The sequence below is a fragment of the Homo sapiens genome, chromosome 7 (genome assembly GCF_000001405.40).
Source record: "Homo sapiens chromosome 7, GRCh38.p14 Primary Assembly".
Taxonomy (NCBI): domain Eukaryota; kingdom Metazoa; phylum Chordata; class Mammalia; order Primates; family Hominidae; genus Homo; species Homo sapiens.
Genome location: NC_000007.14, coordinates 83,160,440 through 83,179,246, shown reverse-complemented (window position 1 = coordinate 83,179,246; position 18,807 = coordinate 83,160,440). Strand labels below are relative to the sequence as shown.

Genomic DNA, 18,807 nt, shown 5'->3' with positions numbered 1-18,807 from the left:
TTTCCCATTTGTTTACTTCCTGGCATTTGACAAGGTCTATAAGTTTCCTGTTAGTTGTGTATTTACATGTGGTTAACAATTCTTATTCTAAACAATGTAAGCTCCACTAGGGAAGAACTTTCACCAAATACTTTATGCTACTTCCACCCCTGAGAGGCCCATTTCTATGAAAAACTTGGAAGAAACTGTTGAACATTCTTTTATAAATTCTGGCTCTGTGTCCGAACCCCTTATCCTCAATGGGACTGCATACTCCTGTTTACACATCTGTAAAGAATGTGTGAATCCAAATGTCATTGTTTGTGGGATATGGGTTATCATAATAGGGCCACATCCAAGGATAATAAAAGTAGAACACTCTTATGGGTATAGGGAGGGGGAGTGGATAGAGGATTTTGTTGAAAAAGTTATTTCATACTAAAAAAAAATATTAACCCCTTCAATTGTAATCATTTTATACTGTTCACAGTGCAGCTACCACAATGGTAGACACACAAGGCCTATTAGAGAGTTGTAATTGCTGAACAGGATAACATAAGATGTTTCTTTGGGAAAAGTTTCTGGAGATGAGACTATAACTGCTTTGAAGATAGGGAAAGTAATGTTATCCTGTGAATAGCACGGTTAGAATTCAGCCACTACCAGACTTGTCCATGCCAGTACAGTATTTCGCCTAAGTTTCTGGAGTAGATTCTAACTGGTCTTCCTACCTCCCTTTTTGCTCACTAGAATCTATGCACAATAGCCAGAGTGATCTTGTACACATTTAAGTCAAACCATAACACTTACTTGCTTAAAACTCTCCAGTAGATTTCCATCTCACCTAGGGGAAAGTCTTTACAATTTACTAGCTTCTGTGTGTCTGCAGCTCCTCGTTGTCTTTCTCACGTCATCTCTCATGGCTTCCACCACTTGCTTTGTCTCTCCTAACCACACTGGCCTCCATGTTCCTCTGTATCAATAAGGCAGCCTGCCAACTCAGGCCTTTCGAGTTTGCTTTCTTTGGCCTGAATTATCTGTCTCCAATTATATGCATGGCTTGCCCACACACGTCCTTCAAATCTTTGCCTAAATGCCCTCTTAGTGCAGCCTTCCCTTCCATTTAAAATTGGAACACTTGCATTTCCATGAGGGTAGAGACTCTTCATTAATTCATTTATTAATTCAGGAAATTGATCACTTACTATCTCTAGGAACTTGGGATAAAACAGATAAAAATACCTGCCTTCATGGAACTCACATTCTAAGGCATAGAGATGAAGAGATTTTTTTTTTAAGTGTGTGTGTGAGGAGGCGGTTGTGGGGAGAGAGAGAGAAAATTGGGGAGAGGAAAAAAAGGAGGGAAAAAGAGTGGAGGTGCTAAAAGTGAATGTGGAGGTTGTAATTTGATACAGGAAGGAGTCTTTTAGCCAAGACTTCTTATATTAGTATTCATTACCAATATAATGAGAAAAAAATGAATTATAAAAATAAACATTTTTTTACAATTGAGTTAACACCTAGGTGGGTTTTACCACCTCCTAAATTATCATTGTGTAATAATGTATACTTATTTTAATGAGAAGTTCTATGAAGTTTTAAACGTGCAGGCTCTGTATCCCAACTGACTGGTTTAGAATTTCATCTCCTACTCTTACTAGCTGTGACCTTAACACATTCTACTTCATTTCCTCATCTGAAAATAGTGGTATCTACTGGATTTTTTTTAAACTTCTCAAATTTTGAAATAATTTTAGACCTACAGATAAAATTGCAGTAGTAGTAGAGAAAGACCTTGTATACTCTTTACTGAGCATCCTCTATTGTTAAAATATTACATAACCATTGTGTTTATTGAAATTAAGAAGTGAACATTGGTATATTACTATTTACTAAACTACAGATCTTATTCAAATTTCACGATTTTTTCCACTAATATCCATTTACTGGTCCAACATCCACCCAGGATCCCACATTGGATATAGTTTCCATGTTTCCTTAGTCTATTTCAATCTGCAATATTCTTCAGTATTTCATTGTCTTTTCTGATCATGCCACTTTGGAAAAGCATTGGTCAGATATTTTGCAGAATGTCTGTCAATTTGGGTATATATGATGATTTCCCATGGTTAGAGTGAGGATACTCCTTATGGATAGAGTGCAAAAATAATGTACCCTTCTCATTGTATTATATTAGGCAGCAAATAAGGCAGTAGTACATGATGTTAATATGTCATGTGATGTTAGCCTTGAACATTTAGTTAACCACTTGCTTTGTCTGCCCTTAGCCACAATGGCCTCCATATTCCTCTGTATCAAGAAGGCAGCCTGCTGACTCAGGCCTTTTGAATTTGCTTTTTAAAGTCATGTCTATTGAGGTGCCCTACTTTAAAGTTGCCTTCATGGAACTCACATTCATGGAACTATTTTCCCATTTATAATAAATATTTCGAGGGAGACACATTGAGACTATGCAAATATCCTACTTCTTCTTAATCTTTCACCCACTAATTTTACTATTTATTGGTAATCTGGCCTGCATTACTATGATAGTACTCTAATGATGACTTTTCTATTTGATGGGGTTGTTCACTAGCTTAAATAAGCAAAATAATGTAAACACAGAAAGTTCTTATTTCATGTTAAATATTTGTTTTTAATTAATGAATATTCATAATGGCTACTATTTATTTAGAGTTTACTAAGTGCCAAGTGCTGTACTACATATTTTATTAGTATGACTTTGTTTAATCATCACAACAACTTTGTGATGAAGGTACCATTGGTATCCAAACTGTATAGAGGAAGAAAATGAAGCATAGACTAGTTAAGCAATAAAACCAAGGAAAGTCTTTTAGTCACTGAAATGAAAGGATATTTTTGGGAAATCTTCTATGCAGTCTGGATCTCAAAACAAAAGAGCATTAAGAAAGGCACATTATTTCCGTAGTGTTCTTGCCAAAAATGCATAATGTAAATCTAAACATAGGAAGACACCAGACTAACACAAATTAAGCAATAATCTGAAAAATAACTGACCAGCCCACTTCAAAAGACACAAATAGCTTTTATACAACCCTTTCACATCCAATGTCCTATATTTGTTTCTAATGGTGCATAATCAGGAAGCCTACAAAGCCTACAAAAGGGAGATGTTTCTGTCCTTCAGAATTTCACAGTTAAAAAAATCCAAATACCATTAATAAGCATGCAATTTTATTTATTCATTGGAGTAAATAAAACAGTTCAATTTTGAGAGAGAAATTAGATAATTTGAAAGGTAAATATTCAATTTAAAAAAGACTTCTTGGGCAATACATACTTTTCTCAGAATGACCAATGGTCCCTTAGAGATAAGTCCGATAACCACAGAAATCTTAGTGAGATATAGTTTATGTAGCTGTTAGAACCTAACCCCTACCTTGTATGTTCTCCATAGTCAATCCCTACATTTCACTTTATCTATGAAAGTAAGAGGCAGCAAAGGATATGGCTCTGAGAAGGGTGGGGAAGATATGCTTGTCACAATTCTGGGTCATAAAAGCAATTATAATTTTCTGATTTAGGCTACATCAAAAATGCTCCTTTGTCAAAATGGATGCATTAAAATGACTCATGTGCTCAGGCTTATAATTTTCTCCCCTTGTCCTCATCTCTGCAACTACTGCCAGCTCCTATTCTGTCTACTTCATTGCTTATCTAAGATTTTAAGTTATTGGAGAGACTGTGACCTTAAATGAGTTGATGCTATTGTGTGCAGAATTCTGTTTTGTTAGTGGACAGTTCTATTTATCAAATGTTATTTGAAAGAGGAGAAATGAGAGACGAAAGGAAAGACCATACTTTCCCAAGTTTAAAAGGTATGATGAAAAATTGCAGTCCTTGGAACTTCAAGGCTTTTTAAAAAATAATTCTATATTTGTTCTGAAATAATGTTTTTTTCTGAAATTCTAGTCACTCTAGTGGCTTTGTTTTTCAAAAATGAGTGAGAGAGAGACTGCTTATTGAGCAAAATATATAAATTTTAGCCTACAAATGCTGAAATTCCATGGATATTTATTTTATTTAAATAAACTTAAAGCTGACAGAGCTCCCATTCTTCTGGGCTGGTGAAACAGTCAGTTTTAGTCATTATTGGGGTTCAGTGCTCCTTGTGTTTGCAACCATTCAATGTCTTGTGCAGCAATAAGGGAGGCCACTGGTCATTGGTCTTTCTGGCTTCAATATGTGTCTTTGTTCTAGTCTGCAAATAGCCTGAAGTCTGGAGACTTTCCAGCTCTCAGGTCTTATATGAAGTGCGTGGCTCTTTGGAGAGTCTGACCACCACTATACATAGGATAGCGCCTCTGGAAACACCATGTACTTTATACAACTATCTGTTCTCATGTCTTAGTTGTTCATCTCTCTCTTTTTTGCTTCTTTTTGCCTTCTGTCCCTGGGTTTCTACATAGCTTCTTCTTTCTACCCTGAAAAAGTTCCTGTGGCAAGAAAATACTTACATGTTTATTCTCCTATTTAATGTAAAAGAGAAAAACGGAAAAAAAAACCCACACAAATACTTCTCACAAAAATTATCTTTCCACCTTTGCTTGTAAAGATAAGGAAAAGAGTGGATATGCCTTCAATTTTTATGTTTGGAGTGCTTAGATGCACTTAGACCAGATGATGAAAACTCTAAGACAATTGCCACATATCTGGCTTGGGTGAGAAGTGTAGCCATTTATTGACATGCTTAGCAAAGCAGAGTGAGAGGGTTTGAGGAGGTATAGTAAGATTTGGGCATTTTGAACTTACAGTGCTGGAGCAACATTATTGTGCCTTGTCCAACAGAGAGGTGAGTATAAAGTTCACAGAAACAGTGAAGAATGAAGACAAAATTATAGTAACTGAACAGTGCGTAAGTGGTATTTAAGTCCAAAAAAAAAAAAAGAAGCATGATTTGTATCACACAAAGATAGCATGGGAGTTACCCCCAGAATTTATCAGGGGAAATGCATTATAATTCAATTTCACCTAGAATCTAGTTTTGTTATAGGTAATCTGTTGTTATTCATTCATTCATTTAACTATTCTTACATTCAGAAAATATTTACTGAATACCTATTACATGTGAGCCACTATTCTGAGGATTAGAGATAAATCCCTAATTTACATTCCAGTTGGGAAGACAAAATAAGTAAAACAAATACTATATCAGATGTAGATAAGTGGACTTGAAGACAAATAAAGCAATGAGGATAATAGGGAATGCTAAGGTGGGTAGGGGTTAACATTTTAAAGAGACTGTTCACATAAATTCTCACTGAAAAGGTGATGCTGATGCTAACTACTGATGAGCAAAGGCCTAAAGGGGGTTATATGCTTATAGGAAGGAAAAGTATTCCAGGCAGAGGGAATGGCATGTGCAAAGGCCCTGAGGCATAAGCATAGATGGTATGTTTGAAGAAGAATACATTGGTCAATGTGGCTGGAAGGATGTGAGCAAAGAAGAGAGCACTAGAAGTAAAAGTGGGTGGGTTTAAGATCACATGGAACTTTGTAGGATTTGCAAAATCTTTGGTTTTTCCTTTTATTGACATGGGAAGCCATTGGATGAGTTTGAGGCAGAGGAACTGACATGATCTGATAGCATCACACTGGTTACTTACTGTGTAGAGAGTAGATACACAAAAGTTGAGCAAGAGTGGAAGCTGGCAGACCAGACAGAAGCTATTGAAATTATTCAAGTGGAATTAAATAGTCAAATAGCAGTGTCAGAGATGAGACATATTTGGATTCCAGATAAATTCTGAAGTTGGAGACAATAGGATTTCCCACTGGATTAGCTATTTTGCGTAAGAGAAAGACAAGTTAAAATGATCCCAATATCCCAATATATTAATATCTAGCTTTAACAATGAGAGAGGTGAAATTACTATTAAATGATATGTGGAAATGGAATAGCAAGTTTGGGGTCAGGAGTGGAAATCAGTATTGATTTTGGACATGTTAATTTTTATATGAGTATTAAATATCATATGGGCTGGACACTTAAATCTGAATAAGAGCATCAGTTCAGCTACAAAGAGGAACAGAGAGATGGGCTATAGCTGGAGGGAGAAATAAGGTCAAGAGAAAATTTTAAAAAACATACTGGGACTAGAAACATGCTTGTCTGTTGATGGGAAAGATACTCGAGAGAGAGAAAATTTGATGATACTGGATCTTTGATTTAAGCTATTAGATCTCAGAACTAGGTTAGCCACTGATGAATATTTATGAGTTTTTCTTATGAAAAGTAATTTATTGGATTAAAAAACACATGGAATATAGGACATTTTTGTAAGCATATTGCTAAAGGTATTAAAACATATTGACTTGATAAGATAAATAATATTTCAATCTAGCACATGATATTTGCCAGATGATTGAATCAGAGAGGTAGAGTGAGCAGGAATAATTTTATGGAGGACGTGCATTTCAGAAGGTCCATGAAACTTGGGTAGGATTTGAATAGACTGGAAAGGGGTGAGAATACAAATGCTAGGGAATGTCTGAACATCACAAAGAGGTAATATGAGATATATCTTGGAAGGGAAAAGGAGGTTCATGTGAGGGGCAAGGGGAAAATAATTAGGAAGGGCATGTTTGTACTAGAGATTGTAGGGTATATAACTTAAAAGCTGTCAGTAAAGGAAGGTATCTCAAGTGACTCACATACTCTGGCCTGGGCCAGATTTTTTTCTGAAACAAGTTAAAAATGTACTGTGGGCCTGAAAGATTGAATAGAATTTTATATTAGTATCAAATTTATGGTCAGATGTAAGGCATGTTAATCTTTCAGATTATCTATAATGGATTTCAAAATATTGCTAACTTATTCTGAAAGTTAGTAAGACCTGTAGAATTTATGAACGCCATCGACAGAGGCTTATAAAAGAAGAGTAACTAATGTTAGTTCTTGACCTTAAACAGATTTCTAGAAATAGAAATAGTTACATGGAAAGTGAGTTGACATATGACATTTATTAGAAATTATTTTGAAAGCAAATATTCTTTGTAGGTAAAGGAACATATTCACTACAGAAAACCTCCGAGACTAAGTTAGGAGGAAGTATTTTTTCCTTTATATTGTCATCACTATTATCTGACCTACATGATTGTTAATTGCAACTCTGACACATACAGGAGTGGAGGAAGTTCAACCTGTCACTACTTATAATTCAGGCGCACAAACCAATGTGCTCAAAGGAAAATCAATAATAGGAATTAGTGGAGATGCAAAGAAGAAAATGTGGCTGAAGTCTATAATATATTGTGTATCTTGTCCTCTATCTTTTAAAAATGTAGTTCAGCAGACAGGACTAAAATCAATTATGAAATTTGTAAGCCCTAGCTAGATATTTCTAATTGGTAGAAAGATTGTGTCCTCCCTTAGCGAGAAGCGGAGATTGTAGAACAGTCAAATACATAATGACTGCAGAAGACAGGCTATGAACATAAATTAAGAAGCCAGGTGGGTGCGGGTTTAAAGGAGAAGGCTGCTACCCAACTGCAGTTGGTTGTTGCCAAGTAATAATGTACTTGGTGCTTCAGACTTCATTTTTCCAAAGAAATAAGAAATCTATAATTTGTAATGGGCAATCTGCCAATTTAAAAATATAGCACATAAAAAATTACTGTGTGGGGAGGACAAAACATATCCATGGAACACATTAAGTCCCCTGGCACTTGGCTTCTCATCTCTAGTCACTTCTGAAGGGGAAATGGACATGTGATCACCATATTATCCTGACCTATACCTTAATAAGGATTTCTAAAACTTCCCAAACATTTTTGCCTAAACCCAATTCTCAAGATGAATTTTTCTCCCTTTATTAAACTCAAAGTTTTGTTCCCTTCCTGTTTTCATTTGTTTTAAATTTAAATTTAATTGTGTTTTAATATTGGCTCTGCATGTGATAATCAATGTTTTGGGAACAAATTACAGTACAGTATTTTCAGAAAAATAATAGATGATAAAAAGAAGTTGTGAAATGTTTTAATAGCCTATCTTCATGCTTAAGGTGACATTGACATTTATCAGAGTAGCATAAAAATTTCTAGTTTTTAAAACATTGTTAAATTCTCTTCTATATTTAGCCTTGCTCATCACACCTCAAAAAGACTCTATCTTATAATATGCTCAGCAGAATAAGGACCAGTTCCAGGCTCAAATACGGAATTCCAGTTACAACTCCAGTATAACCAAATATATGCCCAGTCTAAATGCCCACATTCACTAAGCCAATAGCATACAGGGGAAAAAAGAGTTACATAATATTGTTTCTGTTTCCTAATCAGCTTTGTGTATGCCATGGGATTGAAAAAGCATGTTGAAGCAGCACTTTCCGGGTGCTTAAGTTACAAACTGCAGTCTGTTTATCCAGTCTAAGGCCTCTAAAATCAGAATATATAACATCTGCTCTTCCATCAATACGTCTCCTTACCCATCCTCACTGATCTAGTTTAGAGTTCATTCTTATTATTTATTTCAAACTGTAAGGTGCACATGAATCACCAGGGGATATTGTTAAAATGCAGATTCTGAAGCAGTAGGTCTGGGGTCAGGTTTGACAGTCTGTTTTCCTACAAACTCTTAGATGCTTATGTGGAAGGTCTAAGAACCCTACTCTCCCCAGAAAGATGGAATAGTTTTTTTTAAAAGTCTGTCTCCCCAACTAGAATATAAATTCTAAGCACAGAAACCAGGTCTCTCTTGCATCCCACTATACCTCTAGCATCAGCACATAGTAGGTGGTTTAAATAGTTGCTGCATGAAGGAATTCTGCCCTGCTGAACAAAACTAGGAGATCATCACTAACTGGCAAGGGAGACGGGCAAGCAGGCAAGAGACAGAGTTCCAAGTCTTGCTACTTGGCCACCTAAAGCCAGCTGGTGAGCTGTAAGGTACTGCCATGTTTCTGGCAGTAGATGGCCCATCTTTCCTCAGGATGTCTGCTTCTTGGCCACCTAAAGCCAACTGGTAAGCTGTAAGGTACGGCCATGTTTCTGACAGTAGATGGCCCATCTTTCCTCAGGTTGTCTTTGAGAATGGAATGAAAATACAAATGCCTAGAAAGAAACTATATTCATCACTTCAGAAAGAGCCTTTCTTCTATGGAAAATCTCTAGAACAGCTTCTCTTTGAGTCTTTTACTATCTATGATTAAAAATAGCCACCACTTCCTGCCAAGAATTGCAAGAAAATCAATAAGACCATGATGATCTATCTTGGAGTGTCATTTATTATATTGATACAATTATTTTTTTTCTTTGAAGGGCTCAGCTTTTGAATCTGTGATTGGTATATCTTTGGCCTTATGAGATGAATGATGAGATAAAATGTGTGAAAAATTAAACTTCTCTAGTGGCAAGTGTAAGTGACTCAAGAGTTATGCTGGAGAATGGATCATTGCTTCACTTCTACAGTTTAAAAATTTGTGAAACCAACCATGGTTACTGCAGTATTACATGGCTATCAGGTTTCAAAAGTTTGAGACCCCTGCAATGAAGGCCATTAGAAAACATGAAATATTATTATTACAGACAGATGATGGACCATCTTGCCAACAGCTGACACTGATCTTTCTACGTGAGCAGTAAGTTGAGTGGGGAAAGACATGGGAAGCCTCAGGCAGAATTACATAAAATATCTTCCATCCTTGGCACTTACTCATCAACAGTTAACCTGGCAAATCTAGAACTTGGTTGGCATAAAATTAAACATTCTCCAAATGGCTCCTAAAATGGTGAATGATAAAATTATTGCTCTATGACTTGAGGTAAAGATATCTAACCCTAAGTGCAGATAAAACATGGCAAATTGATAATAATATTTTTAATGAATAATATTATGAAATTAGAATAGTGAGAAGTTTTATTATTGCGTTTTTTTCAACATCTGTATTAGCCCATTCTTAGCTGCTATAAGGAAATACCCAAGACTGGGTAATTTATAAAGGAAAGAGGTTTAATTTACTCACAGTTCCACAGGGGTGGGGAGGCTTCAGGAAACTTACAGTCATGGTGGAAGGGGAAGCAAACATGCCCTTCTTCACACGGCAGCAGCAAGAAGAAATGCAGGGCAAAGCAGGGAAAAGCCCCTTATAAAACCATCAGATCTCGCGAGAACTCACTCACTATAACAAGAACGGCATGGAGGTAACTGTCCCCAAGATTGAATTAACTCCCACCAGGTCCCTCCCATGACATGTGAGGATTATGGGAACTATATTTCAGGATGATATTTGAGTAGGGACACAGCCAAACCATATTAATATCTTTATTTTTTTATTATTACTATACTTTAAGTTTTAGGGTACATGTGCACAATCTCAGTAAATATCTTTATTTTTTATTCTTCTTTTTGGCTGCATGGAATATTTCTTAAATAGTTAAAGTACTATGTGTCATTTTCCAATTATTATTATATGTTTTAGACAGCTTGTTAAAAATGTATATACATTTCCAATATACTTAATGCACTACCAAGCCCTAAAAGTAGCCACAAGAAGTACCATCCCATGGGTCTATACATTCTTTAGCAGGACTATCTTTTCCTATTAGAAATTGGAGGCATTTTAATAAAAGGGAGAAAGGAGTAGGTTTTAGATTCTTGTTAAGCTAAGTTTGAGTTCTCTCTTGTCATTTACTGGTTAAATGAACTAAAGAAATTTAAATAAATTTTCTGAATCTCAACTTTTTAATTTTTAAAATGGACAAAACAATAGTACATGACAAGATTGTCAGAAGAATTAATATAAAATTGAGAAAATACTTAACAGAGGGTCTTGTAATATATTAAATGTAATATAATATGTATAGGTTAAAATTGTATAATTATAAAAGATAATTCCTTAATCATAACAAAAGAATTCCTTTATTTTCCCTTTATAGATGTCCTCTACAAAACAACCTATTGCAGTTTTTGCATTATTTACACTTTTAACCTGAAGACTGGTCACTAAGCAATGCATTTGATGTCTGCTGATTTGAGCATTCACTATGTGCACTAGGTAGTGATGGTATTGCAAAAGAAACAGCAATATTTTGCATCATTTTAAGAAATCAGTACTGAAAACAATTAAGCAAATAAAGCAACATGATCTTTAAATAAATATTAAATAAATAATAATATTCTCAAATGATAATTGAAAATAATAGTGGCTTCAGAATAGGGAAAGGTCTGACTGTGGTGAATGGGCCTTAAGCCTGGCTTTGAAAAATGCACAGATGGATAGAGGAAAGGGGACAATCCTGCCAAGCTGATGAAGAGCAGAACTAAAGAAGAGGTTTGCATGGTATGTTTGGAGGTCAATGAGTGTATCAGTCTGTTTTCACGCTGCTGCTAAGAACCTACCTGAAAGATTATTAGGTTGTAATTAACACATGAGAAAATTATGGGGCCTTCTGAAAACCATAATAAACCTTACATTTTAGTACATATGATAATGACTAAAACATATACATCAGATGTCTTTTTTCTCTCAGTTCCTGTGTATGTACATGATATCTATATTGCAAATATTTTTAACGTGTATTTACATGGATACAAAGCCCTGCACTCTTTCCATGCCTTGAACTCTCACCCCATCCTTTCTCAAGGAACCCATGCATATATTATTAGTCAAAGTTCTCCAGGGAAACAGAACCAATCGGATGGAGAGACATATACTTATATCTATCTATCTATCTATCTATCTATCTATCTATCTATCTATCTACCTATCTATCATCTATCTGTCTATATATTTGGATATGTATCTATATGGATCTATCTTTTATTATATCTAATATATATATATGCACACATATATATGTGTATAAACACACACACACGTTATAAAATAAGAAAATGGCTCACATAATTATAGTGGCTGAAGTCTTACGATCTGCCATCTGCAAGCTGGAGACCCAGGAAAGCTGGTGATATCATTCAGTTGGAGCATGAAGGCCTGAGAACCCGGAGGTTGGGTGATCAATGATGTAAAGCTAAGTCTAAGGGCAGAAAACTGATGTTCAGCTCAAGTAGTCAAGCAGAAAGGAAGAAATTCTCCCTCCCTCTGCTTTTTTGTTGTTGTTGTTGTTGTTCTATTCATGCCCTCAATAGGATGGATGATGCTCACCCACATTGGGGAGGGTAATCTGCTAAATTCACAGATTCAAATGCTAATCTCATTTGGAATGATTCTTACAGACACACCCAAAAACAAGGTTCAGCCAAATGTCTGGCACTCCATAAGCCAGTTAAATTGACACATAAATTAACCATCACAATGTACAAACACTTAAGCAACATAGACATTCCTGCCTTTGCATGAGAGAGACAAGGCAGGGTTTTACAGTGCACAGTCCACAGAAAACATCTTGCAGCCTCACTGACATGTTGGTCCTACAAAGTCCCGTAGGCCATATTGCCAATGGAGCTAGGAGTGGGAACATTTCTCTTTCCCTTTTCAAAAATAAGTGGCATCAAGTCCCCTCCTTCTCTTATAGATTTCTCTACTTTTGTCCTCCAATTCATGCTACCTTACCAATTCAAGTTGTTTTATCTTTATTCTACAGAACACTTAAATAAGCCCATGCTGTTTTAAAAATATCTGAACTCCAGGCCTGGTGCATTGGCTCACATCTGTAATCCCAGCACTTTGGGAGGCCAAGGCGGACAGATCTCCTGAGGTCAGGAGTTCGAGACCAGACTGACCAACACGGAGAAATCCTGTCTCTACTAAAAATACAAAATTAGCCAGGTGTGGTGGCGCATGCCTGTAATTTCAGCTACTCTGGAGGCTGAGGCAGGAGAATCTCTTGAACCCGGGAGGTGGATGTTGCGGTGAGCCAAGATCGCGCCATTGCACTGCAGCCTGGGCAACGAGAGCAAAACTCCATCTATATATGTATGTATGAACTCCAATCCATCACCAGACTCAGAAAAACTGAGCATCTTCTAGTTGATTTCATCTTAACTCCTTTAGAGGTAAATGTGACTATTAACAGGTTTTCCTGGATAAATATTAAAAGTACTATTATATAATGTACAGTTTATCTTATTAACTTTGTAAAATCCCACAAATAATTTTGAAGTTCTGACCCCAAGCATTTTACCCAGGGATGTAAACCTATAGTCTAATCCTCTTGAGTAGGACCTTGAGAGTGTCACCTGACTCCAAACGAATTCTCAAATAAATACATTGATGTTCCTCAGAAAATTCTTATAAATAAATCTTCCCTTTCTTTTCTTTCTTTTTTTTTTTTTTTTTTTTTTTTTGAGACAGAGTCTTGCTCTGTTCAAAGGCTGGATGGAATGCAGTGGTGTGATCACGGCTCACTGCAACCTCCACCTCCCGGGTTTAAGTGATTCTCCTGCCTCAGCCTCCCGAGTAGCTGGGACTACAAGGGCATGCAAACACGCCCGGCTAATTTTTTGTATTTTGGTAGAGACAGGGTCTCACCATGTTGGCCAGGATGGTCTTGATCTCTTGACCTCGCGATACGCCCGCCTTGGCCTCCCAAAGTGCTGGGATTACAGGTGTGAGCCACCAGGGCATGCCAAATCTTCCATTTCTTATATAACTTTACGTCTGGGTAATGCTACATCGTTTAAAAGTCATCTTCACATATACTTTCTTGTTTGAGCCTTTCATGAAACACGCATATAAGTATTCAAGATAATTGTGTTCTTTTCCACTTTATAGTTTAGAAGGGTGGTATTTGGAAATTTTGAACAAACAACTCAAGTGCAGCTGGACAGTAACTGAGAAAAGTCACTAAAAGAGTGAAGGGAAACTTTGAAGGCTTATGCATAATCATAATGTGCAAAACCTGGAATATCAGTTATATAGCTTAACTAGCCCCCCCAAAAAATCTTATTGACTTAAAAAAGCATCTTATTATTATCATTATTATTATTAATTCTCTGATTCTTTCAGTTGATTGTGTAGTTCTTCTGCTGGTCTCATTGGGTTCATTGATGTCATTGTAGCCAGTAGGTAGCTCAGCTGGGGTAGGTTATGCTAAGGCGGTCGGGGGGGCGGGGGTCTCACTAAAGCCTCAGCTGAGATGGACGAAGCCGAGGCAGCTAGGATCCTCTCTCCATGTGTCCCACCTCCTTGGCTTCTTCAGAGCATGGAAGACTCAGTAATTTCCCAGGCTAGCCTGGTAACCATATACCACATTCTGATAACATATTTCTAGTTTACAAGTGCATTCACAGCTTTTTCTAATTTAGTTGTCACAACAAACCTGAGAGGTAGTAATGTTAGTAGTATTATTTTCTCTGTTCTTACAGTTGAGGAACCTCAACATCTGAAAAGTCAGTGACTTACCAATCCAAATAGCTGTAAGAATGCAGAGCTAGGATTTAAAACCAGACATCGTCAACAGAAAAAACCTGAAGTATAAGACATGCACACATGTACCCTTTCTCCAAAAAGCGGGTTCTAAATTCTAAACTCCATTTATAAAATGGTTGAATAAATAATGCTGATCATCTAAGTTATAACTTCATGACTTATTAATATTTTTCAATTTACAAATATTGTAAAGTGACAAAACTAATTTTATTACTTAATATTTTATACATTGTATGTCTATAGGAACACATTCTAAATACGAGTTTTTCTTTTATTTAAATTACAGATACACTTTGGACTAAGTATAAAGGAAAAAATTGATGGTTCAGATATTAAGAATTCAAAATTAAATTTATCAAACTTTTCACTAAAATACTTCTCGTGATTTTTCTCTCAAAATTGAGAAGCCAGTTTATAATCAGTTGTAACCTTACTTGAATTTCTTCCACTCTAACTGTAAATCCCACTTTAAAGTAGAGCTAACAAAAATGGCTGAGAGCAGCAATTCAGAAGTAACTCGGCCTTAACAAAAAATGAAGCGTCGGACCTTAAGCCACTGCAGGTTCTTGCTCCACTCAATGAACACAATCCTCTCTCACCTTCTGTTAGGAAGGAATATTAATTAAAGACCTTCATATGCACCTATATAAAAATTATAAGCCATATTGTCTATAGTTATACAATCGTATATATTCATACATACACAAAAATGCATGGACTTTTAAACATACGAAGGATGAGAATAGCTTGAGTTTTATTACTCATTACATCACACACAAAAGCAGTTACGGGTATTAATATACACTATGTCATTTTTTTTCGGCATTTGTTACAAAAGATGTTAGCATTTGGTTCCCTCATAAGAGACTGCATTATTTTTGTCATTTAAAAAAAAATCAGTTGTAATTATTCGTGCTTTTATACTGTAAAACTACAAATTCACTTTGGAAGGTAGAAGATCGAACTATGTAATGATTATTGCAAAAACCTGGACTTACTTTCTGAGCAACTTATTCATTTCTGTTTGATTTATTTATTCAGTCTCTATTACCTAACCTCAACAGTTGAGACATTAAGTTCACATTCTGAGGAAACGTAGGTAACAACATTGAGGCTGCAGATTCAGTGCTGAACAGTCCCGTCTAAGAAATGTAACAGCAAGAAAAGTGTAGGAGTGATAGTCGAAAGTGGGTCTCAAAAACTGGTTATTATGATAACGTGCTGCTAACCAATTGTGTGACTGTAACTTAACAGTCACACATTAAATGAACTTCGTGGGGTTCTTCTGTCCACATTTGTTAAAAAAGGGGCGGGGGAATAAAATCATGTTTTCAAACTTTCATACTAAAACATTTTAATATTTTTACAATCTCGATATTACTGCAGAACCCCACGTCCACAACTTCCCATAATCCTTTATTATTGTGTAGTCCCTCCCTTTAGGGAACTAGTTATAAGCACTCAAAACCTTAGCTGCTTACTAATATTGTATCATTTTAAATAATCTAATTAACAATTTAATTGTTCTGTGAAAGTTCTAAATGAAAAGGGCCATTCTTAGCTCCCTTGGGAAATGTGCCTCAAAGGTATCAGGGTCTCTCTTGCTAATCTTCAGTTACTTGAACCCTTTCCTAGAATGTTTTAAAACCTTCTTTTAAAGAAAATAAATGAAACTACAAATCCCAGGAGCCAAAGCTGAAAACAGACATTTCCTCTCCTGCCCCTCCCGCCCCCTTTAAATCTAGGTGTCTAGTAAGCTAAAACTCCAGTGAGGCATCCTGAAATATGCCTGAAAGAAACGTCGCCTGTTTCTTCCCTGTTTTTAGCCGGGCGTTCACTGGGCTCCTTTAAATCGGTGCTGAGAGCGAGGAAGGATCCGGAGCGACGCAGGATGGGGTGGGCGTGGGCCGCGGGCATCACCTGTTCCGAGAGGCGCCTGCGCACTGAGAGGGCGCGGGCGAGGAGGCGGTGCGCGGTGGGAGGGGCGGACGGCGCCCGGCTGGCACCGCTCAGATCTGCTTCTCCCCGGCTCGGGGCGCCGAGGCGGCGTCCGGGAGGTGTCTTCTGCAAAGGTTGCCTGGCGCTGTCCAACATGGAGGAGGCACCGGCAGCGGGCGTTACCTGCGAGCGGGACTAACCCCTGCCTGGCGTTCCGGGCGGCAGTGCCTGGTCCAGAGTCCAGGGACTCGGCTGCCTGCACGCCCCGAGGCGGACCCCGGCTCTGACTGCTCCCCTGGCCGCGGGCTTCTCGACTGGGACGCGGCGCGAGGAGGGAGCGCGGCGGCCCCGAGTCTCCCTGAGCCATGGGCAACGAGGCGAGCTTGGAAGGGGAAGGGCTCCCCGAAGGGCTGGCGGCGGCCGCAGCGGCTGGAGGAGGAGCTAGCGGGGCGGGGAGCCCCTCTCACACCGCGATCCCGGCCGGCATGGAGGCGGATTTGAGCCAGCTGAGCGAAGAGGAGAGGAGACAGATCGCCGCTGTCATGTCAAGGGCGCAGGGGCTGCCCAAGGGAAGCGTCCCCCCGGCCGCTGCGGAGTCGCCTTCCATGCACAGGCATGCACAGCATGATGTATATGTCCGGGCATATATGTACAGCTTCCCGTGCACATATGTGCCAGCCTGTATGTGCCAGCACGGCGGTACATATATGTCGCCTCCGTTCATTTTATTCTCCCCAGTGGGGTGGCCATAGAGAGATCCTAAGCCTTGTGATGGGCGGAATAAAAATGATGCATTGTAGAGTTTCTGGTGGGATAGTCAAGGGTTACATTCTTGGAACTGTGATTTTAGGTTGTGATTTTTGGCCTTTTGTAGCCCTTCCCCTCTAGGATGGCGTGGAGAGACGCCCTCCAGTGTTTTACTAATCTGGAAGTCTTCCATTAATACAACACGGACGTGTTAGGAAATGGATAGAGCTGGGTGTTTACCTGTCTCTGTTTAAACCTCTTGGCCATTGCGGGTCTTTTTCTCTGTGAATGATGTCTAAATATTTCTGTAACTTTAATCCCCTTGTAGGTGATTTGTCCTCTCTTGCCACCCCACCCCCAGAGGAGAGCAGAAGCTGTTTAGGTAGAAGGAATAGAATGAATATACCTTTTATATTCATTGAGGAACCCTAAAATATGTGTGGCATTAAACAGATGGTTTGGTCACAGCAGAGCAGGTGCTGTACATATATTTCTAAATTAGCATATGCTATTTTTAAGCCACTGCTCTGTTTTATGCAAAAGTGGCCTTCAGTTTAGGGAAGAACATGTGAATTTTATTACCTTAGAAAATAATTTTCAATACATACTTTTAAAAACAAAGCAAATAAATGGCAACTTGCATAGGCAAGTATAAGAGCTAATCAGTAATATGAATGTTTTCATTTCCGCCTGTAACTCTCCATTTTCCTTCATCCCAATAGATTAGTTGTTTTCTAATTAGAGTACTGAGAGGGGTATAATCATTGTGCCTGCCTTGCCTTTCTTACTGTAAACAAACCCTTTAACTTTGCACCCTCTAGTAGAGAACAGTTTTCTGTCCGTGGTTCTGAAACAATTCCTCTTTTATGACAACTGAAGGCAAACCTACAATTTTTCATTTGAGATACTGTAAGCACGAAAGACCTGGATATATAGGTGTAGATCCTTATCCTCCACTTTATAAAATAAAAAAAAAATTAACTTAGTCACTATCACGTAAGCATAATTTTGCCAAATAATTATAGGAGAAATGTAAAATGTTTTATGGATAGTGACAATATTTTCACATAAAATCTTAAATGCTTAAAATCTACCAGGTAAAAAGTCTGTTTATCTTGAAACTACTAGTACTAGTGAAAACTAGCCCCTTTATGTTAAATATGTTTTTCTGTGTTTTTAAACTAGTAATCCATGGGGCTATTTGGAAAAAGTCTTTCTTGTTCTCTTATCCAGTTTATGATATGTACTGTTTTCCTCTACTTGATGAAAACTTGACAAGAAAAAAAATTTAGTGTTCATTCAGTAGACTTTCACAGGATAATAACAAGGTATGATACTTTTATTAGCCTTTTAGAACTGTATGCCAGATCTTTTATATTTTTTCCTAAGAGGCACAAGCAACAGGTCTATCATGCTGGTTACCAATACCAGTTACAGTGAGATCTTTGATTTCTAGATTTCTAACTTTTCTTCTGTTTAGAAGGTGGCTGAGAAACATTATTTCCACCTATAAAACTGTTGCTTCATGCACTATTTGCATCAGATAGTATACTTTTAAAGCTCTCTATTGATAATTTTATTATGATGGAAATCTTATCAATAGTTAGTGTATGGCCCAAACAGTATTGGTGAAAACTTCATCCAAATACTAAAAAATAAATAATAATTTTCTGACCTTTGCAACTTACTCTTACATTTTACTGAAAGATTTCTATAAAAGGTACATAACTTTTTAAAAGTTATTTTCCCTATATATGGTTACCAAAGAAAC

The 18,807-nt window shown here is 37.4% G+C and overlaps 1 protein-coding gene and 1 long non-coding RNA gene across 8 annotated transcripts in view, besides 2 other annotated features; both read left to right on the top strand.

Moving 5' to 3' along the window:
- Nucleotides 1-3,786: 3,786 nt before the first annotated feature.
- Nucleotides 3,787-11,065, top strand: LOC105375377 (uncharacterized). The gene is made up of 3 exons (XR_927715.2): nt 3,787-3,839; nt 9,280-9,599; nt 10,897-11,065. It is a non-coding gene; the product is annotated as an uncharacterized LOC105375377 (long non-coding RNA).
- The window catches only part of PCLO (piccolo presynaptic cytomatrix protein), a 408,873-nt gene continuing 406,428 nt past the window's right edge, over nt 16,363-18,807 (top strand). For all 7 annotated transcript variants that reach the window (XM_017012006.3, XM_047420211.1, NM_033026.6 and 4 more), the window contains exon 1: nt 16,363-16,902. In XM_017012006.3, coding sequence (XP_016867495.1) covers nt 16,655-16,902 — 248 coding nt within the window. In that variant the 5' untranslated portion in view covers nt 16,363-16,654. The remainder of the gene's footprint in view (nt 16,903-18,807) is intronic.
- Nucleotides 16,441-16,510: an enhancer, noted in NCBI's record as "active region_26214". NCBI's record gives its function as "activates an Ori minimal core promoter by ATAC-STARR-seq in GM12878 lymphoblastoid cells {active_cell/tissue: GM12878}" and the evidence as "EXISTENCE:reporter gene assay evidence [ECO:0000049][PMID:35858748]".
- Nucleotides 16,631-16,720: a silencer, noted in NCBI's record as "silent region_18336". NCBI's record gives its function as "represses an Ori minimal core promoter by ATAC-STARR-seq in GM12878 lymphoblastoid cells {active_cell/tissue: GM12878}" and the evidence as "EXISTENCE:reporter gene assay evidence [ECO:0000049][PMID:35858748]".